The sequence below is a fragment of the Homo sapiens genome, chromosome 2, assembly GCF_000001405.40.
Source record: "Homo sapiens chromosome 2, GRCh38.p14 Primary Assembly".
NCBI classification, from domain to species: domain Eukaryota; kingdom Metazoa; phylum Chordata; class Mammalia; order Primates; family Hominidae; genus Homo; species Homo sapiens.
In genome coordinates, this window is record NC_000002.12 from 109,232,135 (window position 1) to 109,248,865 (window position 16,731).

General features: G+C 45.3%; 2 protein-coding genes across 3 annotated transcripts in view, besides 4 other annotated features; both read left to right on the forward strand.

Moving 5' to 3' along the window:
• Window positions 1–16,731, forward strand: part of RANBP2 (RAN binding protein 2) — a 1,122,820-nt gene that overhangs the window by 512,653 nt on the left and 593,436 nt on the right. The gene's annotated exons all lie outside the window — the stretch shown is intronic.
• SH3RF3 (SH3 domain containing ring finger 3) overlaps window positions 1–16,731 on the forward strand; it is a 375,430-nt gene that overhangs the window by 102,930 nt on the left and 255,769 nt on the right. The gene's annotated exons all lie outside the window — the stretch shown is intronic.
• Window positions 883–942: a silencer, noted in NCBI's record as "silent region_11859". NCBI's record gives its function as "represses an Ori minimal core promoter by ATAC-STARR-seq in GM12878 lymphoblastoid cells {active_cell/tissue: GM12878}" and the evidence as "EXISTENCE:reporter gene assay evidence [ECO:0000049][PMID:35858748]".
• Window positions 6,427–6,616: an enhancer, noted in NCBI's record as "active region_16356". NCBI's record gives its function as "activates an Ori minimal core promoter by ATAC-STARR-seq in GM12878 lymphoblastoid cells {active_cell/tissue: GM12878}" and the evidence as "EXISTENCE:reporter gene assay evidence [ECO:0000049][PMID:35858748]".
• Window positions 6,767–6,856: an enhancer, noted in NCBI's record as "active region_16357". NCBI's record gives its function as "activates an Ori minimal core promoter by ATAC-STARR-seq in GM12878 lymphoblastoid cells {active_cell/tissue: GM12878}" and the evidence as "EXISTENCE:reporter gene assay evidence [ECO:0000049][PMID:35858748]".
• Window positions 6,897–6,986: an enhancer, noted in NCBI's record as "active region_16358". NCBI's record gives its function as "activates an Ori minimal core promoter by ATAC-STARR-seq in GM12878 lymphoblastoid cells {active_cell/tissue: GM12878}" and the evidence as "EXISTENCE:reporter gene assay evidence [ECO:0000049][PMID:35858748]".

The window sequence follows — 16,731 nt, forward strand, 5'->3', positions numbered from 1 at the left end:
TCTTGTAGTGGAATGACCAGATCATGTGGTAACTCTGTTTAACCATTTAAGGAACTTCCAGGCTATTTACTAAAGTGGCTGCATCACTACCACCCAACAACATAGGAGAATTACAGTTCCCCATATCCTTGCCAACACATACTATGAACTGTCTTTTTGACTGTAGTCATCCTAGAAGGATCATTTTTTCAGAGTTGGAAAATGGTAGAGAGTAGTTGCTAAAAGTATAAATATGGCTCAGGTTAGTACTTATCACTAACTGTGTTACCTGGCTGAGTCACTTAATTTCTCTGAGCCCTGGTCTGCCTATCTATCTGTAAATAGGAGATGGTTACACCTGTCCCGTAGGGTGCTTGTGAACACTGACTGAGGGGGAAATGAAACAGCACAGCGTCTCCCATGCTGTAATGTTCAATAAGCGTGGACCTTTCTCATCATGCCTAAAAGGAGACCAACTGTGAGTCTCTGCCCCTCCTTCTACCCTGTCCATCCCTTCTTTCTGGAAAGGGGTGATTGATTAACAATGTTTTAGAGAAATGTGGGATCATCCAAAGCAAAGATGAGTGGATAGGAAGCATCATGGTGATGGAACCAGGAGCTCTATGAGCTGTTTCTGGATATTCCCTGATGATAATTAAAGGGTCCCCTAAACACAGCTGAGACTTCCATTTTATACTTGAAAACTAAATTTTAATGCAAAATTTTATCGAGGTTCAATTTATACACAGTAGAATTCACACTTTTTGGTTTACAGTTCTGTGAGTTTTGACAAACAACTGCAGTTGAGTGAGCACCACTGAGACAGGAGAGTTCCCTTACCCCTTTGTGAGACTTGCGATAGGGGTGTGGCTTGCTTACTTGGCCACCATGTGCTCAAACCCCTTGCAGGATGGGAAGCACGCAGATGAGTGGGTGCTGGGGCCGGAGCTAGTGCTTTTGGGCTCCATCCCACAGCAGTGGCGAGGGGTGTGTTACAATTAATGCTCCTTTAGCAGTTGCTGTCCATGGATGGCTAGGTGTTAACCAGCTCAGTGGACAGTCAGGGTGACAGCTTCTTACACCTTGTCCTCTTGGTACCCAGGTTCTTGTCCAGCACCCTGGAAGAATCAGGTCTCATGGACTTGAAGGATGGTGAATGCAGAGGTTGTATTGAGTGATGGAGGTGGCTCTCAGTGGGTTGGGGACCTGGAAAGGGGAGAGAGTGGGAAGATAATCTTCCCCTGGAGTTTGGCTGTCCCCAGCTGAACTCCTCTCTGACCATCCCCAGCTGAATTCCTTTCAATGTTCAGACACTTCGTGTCTTCCCTCCTCTGCTGCACTGCTCTACTTCTCTGCCAGTGCAGTTTGGGGGTTTTATAGGTACAGGATGGGGGTGTGGTGGGCCAGGGTGGTTTTGGAAAAAGCAACATTTGAGTGGGAAAACAGGGATAACTGTTCTCATTTAGGGCCATGGTGTCCAGGCTTGAGGGTGGGGCCTTTGCCGGGGAACCACCCTCTTCTACCCAGTATTTCCCTGCCTCCTGTTCGTATCACCACCACACTCAAGATGCAGAGCTCTATCCTTTTGGCTCGGAATATTCATCAGCTGTGGCCACCCTGGCAGTCCCACATCAGCTTTCTGTTCCTGCCGTTTTGCATTTCCAGAATGCCATATAAATAGGATCACAGAGTATGTAGCTCTTGAGTCTGGCTTCTCTCACTTATGTAGCACATTTGCGATTGGTCTGCATTGTTTTGTCTATCAGTAGGGTGTTCCTCTTTATTGCTGCATAATATTCCATCATATGGAGGTACCACAGTTTGCATATCCATTTAACACTGAAGGATATTTGAATTGTTTCCAGTTTTTGGCAGTCATTGATAAAGCCACAGTAAACATTGACATGAAGGTTTTTGTGTTAATATGTTTCCATTTCTCTTGGATAAATATTAACATTTAGGAGTAGAATTGCTGGATCATAAGGTGAATGTGTGTTTAATTTCCTTATAGGAAATGCCAGATTGTTTTTCAAAATAGCTATACCATGAAGTTAATAGTATTTTAATCAATAATAGGCCATTGGAATCTCTGAATTTGTTATTAGTCAGTTACTTTTCTGAATGGACTAGATTCTGAAACTGTTACTAAGGATGCCAGTAAATGCACCTTTCATGGACAGTTCATATAGGAAAACTTTAGGTTAGATGAAGTGAAACTGTTTCTTTATTGCAGGATTCTTAGTGCCTAAAACATAAGGCCCTTAAGGGGACAGATGAAACAGGCAATTTCTCTAAATTTTTTTGACCACGAATGTCTCATGGAGCTAGTGTTCTTTGGAACCAATTTTGGGGAACACTGGGCTAGAGAACACACATTCTTCTCAGCGAGTAGCTTGTATTTTATCTGAAACATTTCTGTATTGGTCAGGATAGGCTCTGTTGTGCTGCAGTAACAGGCTGCCCTCGTTGACAGCTGTTTAAAACAATAAATGTTTGTTTCTCATTCACGCTGTTAGATTATCTCAGCAGGCACAGGGCTCTGCTTCTTGTTGATCTCACAGGGGTGTGGGCTGATGAGAAGAGAGTGAGGCTGATAGCACACAGGCTCTTGGAGTCTTCTGTGTGGGAGCAGCACACACCACGTTTATTTGCTGAAACAAATTACATCTTCACACCTGACTTCCTGGGGAAATTCAACCATGATATGTTCCTGAGAAAAAGAGAGATGGAATATTGAACAGTTCTAGTTGCCACCTCAGATTCTAAAGGATTCAGGGCAAACTAGTTTGTTCCATTTTGTGTTTCTGTGTATCTGAGTTGTTGTATGAGTGTCCTAACCTCAGCACCTGTTGTCACCAGATCCCAACGTTTGACTATGGCATATCTTTATCTGATATCTTTAGAAGCTGCCCTGGTCCCTTCAGCCCAGTAGGCCATCATGTTCTCCTTTATGGTGAGGCAGAGCTTTAGAACCAGACCACAGAGCAATAAGCAGTACGGTTTTAGAGTTGGGAGGGGGGCCCTGGGAAGACTGTCTGGCCCATGGTTTCTAAACACTTCAGAGCGGGAGGAACCTGTCTTCTAATGAAGGTTTAAGGACAGCGAGCATGTAAAATAGATCAACCCTGAATAGTTCTGGGAGGACTGGTTGGTGGGCCAAGAATTCTCACTGCAAGGTCTTTCTTCTCCCCTCCCCCTTCCTACCTCCTCTTCATCCACCCTAGGGATCTCTAAGGGCCACTAAAGAGACCAGTTTGAGAGACCCTAATCTTTTCAAAGCCTTTGTGTGTGTTAGCTGAGGAGAGTGACTAGGTACCATACAAATCAGGTTACTTTTGAGAGCAAGGGGCCCTATTAACCCTCATGCCAGGACAACAGGTGTGGGTGGCACATGGGGCCATCTGGTCACCTGGAGAGCAAGAAGCAGGTGCTGCTGGAAGTGACTGGTAAGATGGTTCTCCTGGGTTTGAGAGATGCCATGGCATGGGCCTCGAAGGCTGTTGTTTGTTTGTTTTGCTTTTGCTGTTTTTTGGTGTCATTAGAGGGAGAGAGGGAGAGTGTACGTGTCTACCAACATAAAGATTGAAGGTGTGCAGTCGAGGCATCCCTGTGGGAAGTGTGAGCTCTGATGACAACACTTGTTAGACTCTCTACTGAGCCCCTCTCTCCCTGTTCTTATTTCATCTTCACGTGCACTCGGCACCAGGGTGGGCCTCCTCTCCTACATGCTTGACTGATAAAACCTCTTAACCCTGCCAAGCCAGATTGCACAGGAGAGGGCCTTCTAAGCTCACTGCCCTTACTTTAAGAGGCTGTGGGGTTGGTTTCACCTTGACCTATTATAATATGCATGCTCACTGCCTTTACTTTAAGAGGCTGTGGGGTTGGTTTCACCTTGACCTATTATAATATGCATGCTCACTGCCCTTACTTTAAGAGGCTGTGGGGTTGGTTTCGCCTTGACCTATTATAATATGCATGAAGCTATTCACATTTTGAACCTCTCCAAGATCAATAGTTTATTTCTGGGGGACATTTTTAGAACTCTTAATCACTGCCAAAAGAAAGAAAACTTTCTGGAAGTGAAAACTGCCTCCCAATTACAATGTAATATACTTGCCTTTGGACCTCTTATTAATGACCAAATTCCCCTCGGTCCTAAAGTCCAGGTTGTTTCTGCATGCAGTGTCGGGGCAGGGGAATAATGAGCAATGCCCAGCAGTGCCTCCAGAGTGTGCGAGCATCCCAGTGAAGCACTCTGGAAGAGCTCCCATGTCATTGGAGTAAGCTGTGCATCACTTCCATTCTCTTTCTCCTCAAACTTCACCTTGAGCACACAGCTGTGAGCCGTGTTTTTTAGGAATCAGAAAAGGTGGTCTTCTTGGGTCAGTGCATTGTAGGAAATAAATGGTATATTTTGTTTTGGTTATTTCTTTGCATACACTTGGTTGAAGATGACAATGAATGAGGGCTTTATTTTGTTGAGAAACAGGGACAGTACCATTAACATTACCACGAGAAGATGCTGCCCAAATGGGGAGATTAAAGACGCCTAAAGGTCAAGGTCGAAGAAAGGAAATCCCAGGTGACACTGCCCCTTATTTTATTCTTACAGCATGGACTGTTTCCTGTTTGCAAACTGGTGCTGCCCTGAAGTGAGGGGTGAGCCTTCTTAGCCAGGAAACAGCCTATACATTTAAGAGGACTCTCCTCAGAGATCAAAATTGCAGGTACAGTCTCCGGCTGTGAAACGCTGCAGTGACCTGTACTTACAGCTCAGGGGACAAGGCATAAGTATAGTTCTAGGGCAGGGAGAGGCAGTCCCCAGAGAAATTTCAACTGGCCTAAGGGTTTAATATTAAAGACCCTGGACACAGAAAGATCAGGGGAAGCTAAACTTAGAAGGTAGAGAAGCCAACACAAATGAAAGCAGTGACATCATCTCACTGCAAACAATGTTAAAATAAGAAATAAACAAGAATGTCAGGCCAAAAGACAAAATACACATGGAGGAAAGATGTTCACGGAATAGATTTTAAAGAGTTAATATTTGTAATATATGAACACTCTGTTAAAAGTGGTTGTTTAAAACTACTAAAACCAGACCACCAGCAAAGAATGTATAGAAATAAGTCAGTAGAGGAACTGACAATAATTAATGTTGGAAGACATTTATCTTTATCAGAAAACATGGAGAAATGTTTGATCTTGGTAATCAAAGAGGTACACATTGAAAAAAAATGTTGTTTCTCAGCTTTCAAAGTAACAAAGAGTATAAAAAAGTGCACAGTCTTAACAAGTCTATGGAGAAGGTTGGTGGAAGGCTGGTGAAATAATGCTTTTGGGAACCAGCATGATGGATTGGAAGTCTTTAAAACAAGCTTGTCCAACCCGCGGCCTGCAGGCTGCATGTGGCCCAGGGAATGGCTTTGAATGTGACCCAACACAAATTCGCAAACTTTCTTAAAACATTATGAGATTTTTGTGTGTGTGAATTTTTTTTAAAGCTCATCGGCTATTGTTAGTGTTAGTATATTTTATGTGAGGCCCAAGACGGTTCTTCCAGTGTGGCCCAGGGAAGACAAAAGATTGGACACTCCTACTTTTAAATGCCCGTGTCTTTGATTTAGCGATGACATCTGGGGATCTTCCAAAAGAAAATCATCCTGAAAACAAACACAAAAAACAAATACTTTCTACACAAAGTTTCCATTTTAGTATAAAATAAAGCAAAAAATGAAGAACAACTTGGATATTATTAATAGTGTGGAGATTGCTAAATAAGCTATGGTATATAAATTAACTTAGTGTTATGCCACCAAATTAAAATGGTTTTTATGACCACGCAATGGCTCATGCTTGTAATCCTAGCACTTGAGGTCAGGAGTTCAAAATCAGCCTGGGAAACATGATGAGGCCCCATCTCTACAAAATATTAAAAAATTAGCCAAGCATGGTGGCATCTGCCTGTAATCCCAGGTGGAGCTGAGGCAGGAGCATTTCTTGAGCCTTGGAGTTGGAGGCTGCAGTGAACCATGATCATGCGGGTGCACTCTAGCTTGGGTGACAGAGTGAAGCCTGTCTCTTAAAAAAAAATAATAAAATAAAATGGTTTTTATGAAGACTAATTCAATAGAAAAGTGTTGGCTCTAAAAATGAAGCAGGATACCAGATGGCAAGTACACTAATATCACTGTATTTTTAAAAATCTTATAAATCTATGCACAGAGACAAGGCTGGAAGACAACTACCAGAGCATGACAGCTAGATTGTGGGTGCTTTAAAAAATTTTCTCTTTTTCTTTAATTTATACATTTCTTGTTTGTTATGTATATTTGTGTGTGTGTGTGTGTGTGTGTGTGTGTGTGTGTGTGTGTGTGTGTGTGAGAGTGAGACAGAGCCTCACCTTGTTGCCCAGGCTGGAGTGCAGTGGTGCGATCTCTGCTGGAAACTGGAAACTTTGGAGGGGACATTTTTTCAGGAATTCTTTTTCGCATTATGGATGCCACTGTTTCAGAGTTTCTTAAACCCAGAGTGTGATGAATGGAGGAGGAGAGTGCTCACAGGATGGCCTCACTCCACAGAGGACCGGATGCCCTTGTTGCTCAAGACTTCCTTCCCCCAGGCAGCTGCTACATGCTTGCATCCTCTGTGGCTCTTGCAATACAGAGGCAAGGCCCCTGATGAAACCCGGCGAGGTGTGGTCTGCCCTGGAGGACAGCAGCCAGTGTGGGGGGCAGTCCCTTCTCTCTGTCCCAAGGGAGGATACAGCTCCACTGTGGTCACTGGCTCTATGTGAGGGGGTGCATGCATCAGAGACAACAGATGAGAGGGCCCTTCAGTTGGCTTTTCTGCCTCCAGTTCTTTCTGTTCATGAGAGGAAAAGCTACTGGTAGACAGAACAATGTTAAATGTAATAAAAATAAGCAAGTTCCCTGGGTTTATGCAGTGCCAAATGTCAAGATGGTTGTATACAGGAGAAGACGTCCAAGACACGTCTTTTCCGAGTGTCCCAGAGCTCAGAACTCTGTGAGCACTTTGAGCTTCCCCAGACCTCTTTCTTCCCTGGGTGTGAGCCCTGCACAGTGCTCCGAAAAGAGCTGGGGTCCGTAAATACGGATGGCAAACAGCTCACCTGGGTTTCTCACATGGATTTGTTTTCTTGGGGGTCTCTGTATGGAAGCTTTTATCCCTTCCTAGGGGGCTATAGGAGTATTTTTGTTAAGATTCAATGGGTCATTTCCAAAGTAGTCATTTCTTTCTCCTCACACAAAAATGAACTGAATAAGAATAAGGATACAGTTTTCTAGTGAAAATTGGGGTCTTCCCTGCTCCTTGCCTCCAATCAAGTAAAAGCTTTTTAGAACAAACGGACTACAATATTCTGAAGTGATTTTGAATTTGGCCCCATATTTGACTCTGCGGTCCGATGAGGGACACGGGGTTAGTGGGCAGACACCATTGTTTGCACACACGAGACTGGGTACAGAGCCAGGCGTGATCATCCAGGATAACAGGGAGGAAAGAGAGGCCGATGAAGCCACTGATTTTTAAGAGCTTTCTTGGTGGAGTAATAGATTTTAGGGAGGGAGTTGCTCTGCCAAGTGCTCCAGCTTAAATGGAGCCACCTGTGGAAAGGAGCTGGCGGCACTGCTGTGGGAGTCCCTTGTCTTTGGGAGGGGTGTTTCACGGCCACCTGCCTTTCATCCCCACAGCTCACAGCAACTTACAGAATTTCCGACCGTCTCCTTGGAGACTTAGAGAAATGTGTGCTGAAGGTGAGGAGTCACTCAATCACTGGCAGCCAGGCGGAGGTGACTGATAGCAAAATGTGCTCTAGTTGTAGTGGGGCTTGCAGCTGGGTATCCTCTGTGGAATGCTTGCTGGCTCATGATAGATGAGTCACTTGTCTGTAGTGGTGGCCGGGGCTCTGGCCCAGACCCTTCTCTGTTTTCTTATGTGAGTGAAGGCTGTTGTATTGCATAGTGGGTGAACCACACCTGGGGATTCTAGACTTGGCACTGCCCTCTCTTCTTGTGGAACCATGGATCACCCATTTATCACCTCTGGGCCTCAGTTTTCTCACATGCAAAATCAGGGTTGAAGCCAGGCATGGTGGCTCACGCCTATAATTTCAGCACTTTGGGAGGCCCAGGAGGGCAGATCACTTGAGGTCGGGAGTCCAACATGGTTGAAACCTCATCTTTACTAAAAATACAAAAAAATTAGTCAGGTGTGGTGGCTCATGCCTGTAATCCCAGCTACTTGGGAGGCTGAGGCAGGAAAATTGCTTAAACCTGGGAGGCGGAGCTTGCAGTGAGCCAAGATCGCACCTCTGCACTCCAGCCTGGGCGACAAACAAAAAAACAAACAAACAAAATACAAACAACAAAAACTAAAACCAGAGTCAGGGTTGGGCTTGATGGTCCCTATCAGTAGCAGAGTCCCCTGGTGTGGCACTTTGACTTGTGGATAAATAGGTTTTTCATTGCTGCAGTTTCAAACCTTCAGCTTCTCTAATATCCCCTGCCACTGACGGATTATTTCACACGAACCAGAGAGGCCATTAGGTGAGAATGCCTTCATCTTCCCTCCCTCCCACCTCTGAGCACCCTTCTGTTTCCTTCTGAGCTTCTTCCTATTTCCTCCTGTCGTCCTTCTCCTCTCTAGACCCTGAGGGGTTTCTCTTCTCTTCTAAGGTTACTTCTTCCTACTGGACTCCTGACACCCCCACCCCCACCCCTGCCCTTGGGAACTTGATTCCATCTCTCTCTCTCTGTCTCTCTGTCTTGCTCCCCGCTTCTTTTCTCATGTTCCATCTTCTTTCTCCCTCACCTCCTTATAATCCACATCCAAACAAGTCCACATCTCCCCAAAAACTCCATGCCTCCCTTTTGGCCAAAAAGAACTCTATAGAGCATCAGAAGAATAATTACTAAAAATATATGTTTAAAATAAGTGGCCTTAGTAGTAAGCTCTGAGAATGAGAAGCTTCATTGTCTAGTAAGTTAATACAAATTAGTCGACAGTCAATGATGACAAGAAGAGAGCGAAATAAGTTTGTACTTACATACCTCAAAACAAAAACTCTCTGAAAAAGCAGTTTGTTTGTCTCTTGACCTAACAATTCCAGCCTAAGAATATAACAACAACAACAGAAAAGACAAATTCATTTGTAGTAATGGCCATTATAAAAGATGGACGGATATTGGAGCATTTGAAGTGGAAAAAAAGTATACAAAATTCATCTTGCTGTGGGACCCTCTCCCCTTTTCTAGGGCCATATGGGTATAGATGCATTGGGGGAAAAAATGGCTGGAAGAAATACTTTAGGAATGTCCTTTTTTTTTCTTTATATCTTTTGAAATTTCCTACATAAGCTCGTATTACATTTTGTTGGCAGAAAATCAGATTTATAACCATCCGTCCTCCCTCCCACACAACCTTCTTCCCTCCCACTTGGCCTCAGGCATTGAGGTTTGGCTTGGTTCGGTCAGCTCTGCTGGGAGGGCCCCTGGGACTCTCTGTCTCCCCGCCTCGCCATGGTGAGGGTTCGGCAGTTCTCTCCCCCAGTCCCTGCAGTCCCTCTTCTCTGGCTTCTGTATCTGCCAGTTTTCTGTTCCCACCCTGCGTGTTTCCCTAGTGTCTTGAATAATTTTTTTTTTTTTTTGAGATGGAGTCTTGCTCTGTCCCCCAGGCTAGAGTGCAGTGGTGCGATCTCGGCTCACTGCAAGCTCCGCCTCCCGGGTTCACGCCATTCTCCTGCCTCAGCCTCCCGAGTAGCTGGGACTACAGGGGCCCACCACCTCTGCTTGGACCTGAGACACGATGTTCCCCAGAGTGCTGCTTTCATGGTGGTTTTCTTGGCCTGACACCTGTGAGTGATCAGACTGGGAAAGAGGATTCCCTTTCCCAGTCCTTCGTCCTGCAAGTGGCTGGCTCTGGTGTAGACGGGGGTGTCATAGGTAGCCTGCCACACAGGGTGGCTCCTCTGTTCGCCTCCTGTTTTCCCTGGTCATGGTGGGCTCCCTGAGGAATCACTTCCCCTCTTGTCTGTGTTGGTGTCCTAGCTTAGGTGGCCCCTTTTCCTGCTGTTCTCAACTTTGGTAGCACCTTGGCACCATCTGGGGAGCTTTGTAGTCCTGAGGCATGGGTTCCCCCTAGCAGTTTTAATGTCACCAATTGGGTGGAAGCCAGGCCTGGGAGTCTAGAAGCTCCCAGCTGAGTCTGCTGGCTGCTACACTGAGGACCTTGTCTCCTGTCTGTGTCGTGCCTCGTTGCAGATGGTCACACCCATAGAGCAGCCCGTGCCTAGAGTCCTGGGCCTTGGGGCTCAGAATGGGGCCAGGCCTTCCTGCTGAGCCGCCCCAGTGACACAGGCACTGATTGGCCACTGGAGAAGCGGGAGTGAATGGCAACAAGGCCAAGTGGGAAGCCTGTGTCTGCACTGACCACCGTGCCCCAGGCCGGCCTAGCCCAAAGAGACCTCCTGCTTTGACTTTTCCTTACTGGGCTGTGCCTACCTTGTGAAAACTCCAGTAAAATTAATCCAATGGCTGCTTGGCCAGACAGTCAGGACACATTTCGTGAGCCCTGGTCTGGGCTCAGAGGTTTGGAGTCCACAGCTGGGCCTTGATCTTCTTTCCCCAGTGACGTCCTCAGGCTGGGGTGTGGCAAGTTTGGAGAGGATGGGGACCCTCACTCTGTGGCCCAAATAGAGCAATAGGGCCTTTTTCTTCTGCTTCAGATTATCTATTCTCACAAAGGGAACAGGCATCCAAAAACCTCACAGAACAGCATTAGGAAATCAGGAATTGCAGCCAAAGGACTCTTGTCCTCTGTGTGAGGCTGAGTCGGACTTCCGTGACTCATGGTTCTGTTATTCTGAGTGTTTGAGACTATTAAGGAAATTGAATTTAGAGTGTCGTGATTTGTGAGAACAATGAAATCGGCTGTTCATATTCCTGTAGCGTCAGCAGCAGATGAGATGGGAGGTGTTGTCTTTCAGGCAGACAATTGGGAGCAGGCTATTGCCTTGTGCAGGTGTCTTGTAAGGGCTGAGGAAAGCTTCTTGAGGTCTGAGCAGTAGCTGAGAGGTCTGCAGATCCCCTGCCTCAGTAGAGGGACCCATCAGCAACTGCCAGTCCTGGGCCAGAGCCGGCGTCAGCCGTACACCGCATGGATCCTGAGACTCCCGTGTGCTTTTGCAGCCCTGAGATTCCATGTGCTTAGTCTCCTTCTGTTCACCCCTTACCAGATATTCCCGGGGCACATGCTGGAGTGCCTGTCCTTTCTTCTTGCATCAAGTGTGTGGTGGCAAATGAGGAAGGGATTTTCGTATTCTCCTCGTGTGCATTCCAGCCAGGGAGGCCAATGAACAGGAAATGCTCATGAAAAAAGTCAGATGGGGCAGGTGACATACAGGTAATTAACACCATGGGAACCTATAATGGAGAATGACAGAGAATGACTTTTATATTTGGTGGCTGGGGAACATTTTTAAAGAGATGGTGTCTAAACTGAGAGCTGAAGATATGAGTGGTGAGAAGGGGCCAGGGAGGCAAAGGTCGGGGACAATCGCCTGGTACAGGGAGACTAAGGAGAGATTGAGCATGGTGTTTTCAGAGAACCTCGGGGTGGCCCGAGTGGTTTTGCAATCCAGGAAAGGAGTTTGGGACATGTTCTCTGTGCGTTGGGAAGCCATTGAAAGGCTGTAATCAGGACAATACGTGATCTGGTTTGCTTTAGAAAGATCTTGAGTGAGTAAATAGATGAGTGAGTAGTGAGTGAGAGAGGCTTAGACACCAGAAGAGCTCATGCCACCGACATGCAGCCATGGGCACTTGGTGGTTCTGTTTGCCCTGCCCAGCTCATGTGCTCATAGGTGAAGTTTTTGCCATCAGCAGTGATCATTAAACAGTGAGATGGGTAATTGTAGCGAGGGTATTTTCTCTGTTGGTCCTAGATTGCCTAGAATCCTGATAGAAAGAATAGTTTTCCTTGAACTTACAATTCAGCAAATCCTCTGTAGCTATTTTTTTTGTACTGTTTGAAGGATGTACTATTTATGGACTGCAAAACAATGGATTCTAATCCGAGCTGGAGATAAAACATGACGGGGGCATAAAACATTTAAGAAGCACACAGGAGGTACAACAAAGCATTATGCAACAGCTTCTTCAGGCAAATGTGCACATTTTGCATCTAGGAGCAGGTGAGAAAAGTGACACAGAGCAGAATTGTCCTAATATATAAACCTCAGGTGGTATTATGAAAGTAAATACTATATTCAGTCTTTAGGCAAAACCATCAGTACTGATTTTTGCCCATGAATGCAATTCTGTCTTCCTGATGTGTTGGAACTACCCCCAAACAAATGCCAAATGTGAGATTGAAAATTAAATTTATAGGGCCCTAAGCTGTTTGGAACTGTTTTTAAGATGAGAGCTGTTCCACCTAATAGTTGCTATAGGAATAAGCTGGCAGGATGAGGAAAACCCAAGAATGCCAGTTAGCAGGAGAAGATATCGGAGTTTCTGTTAGGCAAACACAGGGAGGAAATATGGAGATGGTATTATCTGCAGCACTGAGAATCACAGCCTCTAGAGACAGGAGTCAAAGTCACTCAGAACCTCAATGCCCGGGCCCTTGAGGCAGCCTGTGGCCCAGGGCAGGTGCCCCTCCTGCTGCTGGCCTTGGAGGGGTGGCCTGAGAACAGGGGAGGTTTTACACACCTTTCCCACTGCAGCCTGTGCCATCGTCATATTCTGCAGGGTGTGGACACAAGTTAGAAGCAAGACAAAGTTGGCTGGCCCTGAGCTTGCCCTTGGGTTTGAGACTTGATCAGGTGCCAGTATCTCTATGGAGAACTGTGAGTACAGTTCTTGCTGTCTTTGTTGTTGGATGGCGTCCCCTTTAAGTGTTTAGTCCTGTTGTCTGGGCAGCCTTGTGCTGAGGGACCCATTGCTGAGCAGAGTGTGCCCAGTTCTCAGCAGATAGAATGAGAGCCCCTCCACCATCTCACGGGAAGCTCCCCTGCTGGAGCCCACTTGGGTTCTTGCCATGTGGCTTCTGTGCTCCTGGTGAATGTATAGCTCCTGTCTCTCTAGGGTCATCTTACTGGCTGCTCTGAGGTTTTCAGACCACAGAGACAGGAGTAGAGCTGTCTGCTGCCATGGTCAAGGTGAGGCCCATGCCTGTGGTCATTCCCTCTGTCCCCAACTTGGGGACAGTGTCAACCTCTGCTGTAACTGGAATTCCCTCTTGGTGCTTTCATGTAATTTTTGTTTCTTTGTGGTTTTTGTCTGGATATTCAGACCCTCAGAGTCTGGCAAAATAATTTGCACATTAGTGCTTCCTATGTGAGTTGATTATTTTCCTTTCTAAGAGTCAACTAGAAATAAAAAGTAAATTAAGTTTTTATTTTTATTGGACAAACTGCACCTCTAGCCTGACATGTTATTATAGGAACTTGGGCTTTGAGGAGACAAATTTAAGTCTATATATAAAATAACTTTACGAGTTTTCATATTTGCTTCTTATCCCTTGAACTGAGACCATATTTGTTAAGATTTCTCTCTGAAATTGGCCACAATAAATATCTTAACAAATTCAGGAAATTCATTCTAAGTCATCATTTTTGCTATAATTCCTGGACCTTCAGATTTTCTGGTTAAAGTTGCCTCAGGGGGACCCTCAGATCTTTATGGAGTTTGTAAATCCATCATGAGAGATTGAATCTAGAGTACTTAACACTTGAAATCTAGAGTACTTAACACAATCCCGGGCATCATTTACTGGTCTCAGGAAATCCTTTGAGGGAACAAAAAAAAATTACTGCTATAATGAAAGTCTCTAAGCTGGCTTATTCACAAAAAACCAGTGTGGTGAAACAAAAAAAGAGCATGGATTTTTGAAATCAAGACACCTGGATTCATACTTCAATTTTACACCTAGGACTGTGATAACATTGGGCAAGTTACTTAGCTTCTGTTTCTTCATTTGTGAAGTGGGAGGATACCTGCTTTGCAGGGTGGTTGTGAGGTTGACAGAGGCTGCCTTAGGCTTTTCAAGCTGCTGTAACAAAATACCGTAAACGCAGTGGTTTAAAAGCGGCAGCAATTTATTTCCCACAGTTCTAGACGCTGGTCGTCCAAGATCAAGGCACTGGCAGATTCGATGTCTGGTAAAGACTGGCCTCCAGGTTCACAGACGGTGCCTTCTCACTGTGTCCTCCCATGGTAGAGGGGGCAAGGCAACTCTCCGAGGCCTCTTTAGTAAGACACTAATCCCATTCATGAGGGCTCCACCCTCACGATCCGGTCACCTCCCCAAAGGCCTCAGCTCCTAATAGCATTACCTTGGAGGTTAGGATTTAACATATGACTTTTAGGATGACACATACATTCAGTCCATTGCATACTCCAAGGAATATCATGCCTAACAGGATGGCTGGAGAGTGTAGATGTTTCACCACTGTAGTACCCTCCAGCCTTCCTTTCCACACACAGCCAGTGTATCTCCCTGCACGTGTCTTATTTGACCTGTGGACTTAACGTGCCTGGTGGAATTGCCCTGGCTCGTCCTAAGGCTGGATGTCTCTGCTCAGATGGACTGGGAGGCAGTGGGGATGCCGGGGTGGAGATGATACCTGAGCCTGGAGAGCCTCGCTTGCTCTGAGTTGAACTGCAGTCGGATGCCCTAGCTCATCCACGTGCTTCTGTTGTGACAGCGATGCTGGGGGTGTCTTCCTTCCATTCGGTGGCACAGGTTTGATGCTAGGACCCCTCTGACTCAGGGCTCCAGGCCAATGCTGCAGCTCAGCCTTGAGGAGGCGTTCCCAGAGCATGAGGAGGACTCATGGTGGAGGATGCTGGTTAGTCTCTTTCTGGTCGGACCCTCACTTTTTGAGATGATGTGACATCTTTCCTGTAGTCACAACTACATTCAACTCTAAAACCATTTTAATTTTTCATTTTCCCCTGTTTGGGGAATTGTAATCCCATGGGTGTATGGATATTATCCAGAGACATGAAACATGGAGTTTGGGTTTGCAGAGGACAAGGAAGCTATGAGATAAGGGAGAACAGAATGAAGTCACACCCCACACAGATGCCCACAGATTATGTGCTGCAGTGAGTCCTTAATGTCCTGGAATCGGTGACACACCAAGGATGGCTTTCAAGAGCTTTCTTGAGCCCTTTATCCAAATCTCTGCAGCCCCTCCCTGAACTTCGTTAGTTTCTAGATCAGTTTACTTCCTAAGTAACCTAGCACACTTGTGTAAGACCAGCTGAGCTTCCCAGATGATCCCTGAACGTCACGGCTCCTGACCGTTCCTCTGAGGACACTTCCTGGAAGTTTTTGTGCAAAACCATTATTCTTCCCACCTTAAGGCAGGCATGGGTGGTCACGTGTCAGTCCAGCCTGCTGTGCTCTTCCTGTGCAGAAACTCTTGCCTGGTTACACTTGGCGACTTCTCTTTGTAAACAAAGGTGTGAGTGTCCTTAACACCTCACAGTTGACGGACTGGCTGCGTTAGCTCTTCCTTTGTTAGTTTCTGATTGCCAGTGAAGGAGAACATCTTCTATATGTTTTTCCCTGTATCAGTTAGGATTTGCTGTATAACAGAAACCCAAAACTTAGAGGCTTAAAATAATACCTTTTTATTTAACTCACTGTTGTGTGTGTTGGCTGGGGTTACTGGGGCAGCAAGGATGGCCTGGGTTCCTCTCCACATGGTCTCTTATATCCCCCAAAGGCTAGCCTGGGCGTCTTCATGTGGTGGACTGAAGGTCCCAGTAAGCAACAAGAAAAGGCAGACTCCAACGTGCAAGCGCTTTTTAAACCTCCATCTGCATCATAATTGTTGTTGTCTCATTAGCCAAAGGAAGTCACAGGGCTGCCAAATCTAGAGGCAACCTTGGATGGAATATTCCAAGGGCCTGGATCCAGGGAACATGAATCAATTGGAGGCTGTTACTCTACAATCCACCACAAAGTCCACTGCCTGTTTTCTTTTGATTGTTGATCTTTTATATTAGGAGGAGTTTTTAAAATATATTCTGGATATTAATTCTTTCATTGCTATATATGTTGATTCAGATGAATAGGAGTTCTTACTTTTAATAAACAAGGTCACTTCTCTCAATCTTTTTCTTTTCTGATGTGCTCATTTTGGCTATTGTTTTAAAAATCTTCCCCACCCTTGAAGCCATACAGATATTCTTCTTATTGTTTCCTGAAAGTTTTATGGTTTTGCCTCTCATGATTATGTGTTATCGCTCTCATTTTTTTCCTTTTGGTAGGATAATTAAGAAGTGTTTTTATTAGGTAAGCTCCATTTTCTCACTGCATCAAAGTCATTTATGCAGGCCTGCTCTGCAAGTGGCATTTTCCAAGTGGAATTAAATGGATGTTACTACCCTGTAGTTAATTCCAGTCTAAGACAATTGCAATGCAGACAGAAACCTTGAGACATTAATTGACCAAACATGTATATTAAATAGGTTTGAATATTCAAGTGCAAGCAAATAATTAGTACACTTGGTGAGTGAAGAGAAAAATGAAGTACTGCATTTCTTTCCTTTCCTTCTTTCCTTGCCTCCTTCTTTTCTTTCTTCCTTTCCTTCTTTCCTTCCTTCTCTCTCTCTCTCTTTCTCTTCTTTCTGTCTTTCTCTTTCTGTCTCTCTTTCTCTTTCGTTTTCTCTCTTTCTCTCTTTTCTCCTTTTCGTTTTCCTTTTTCCTTTCCTT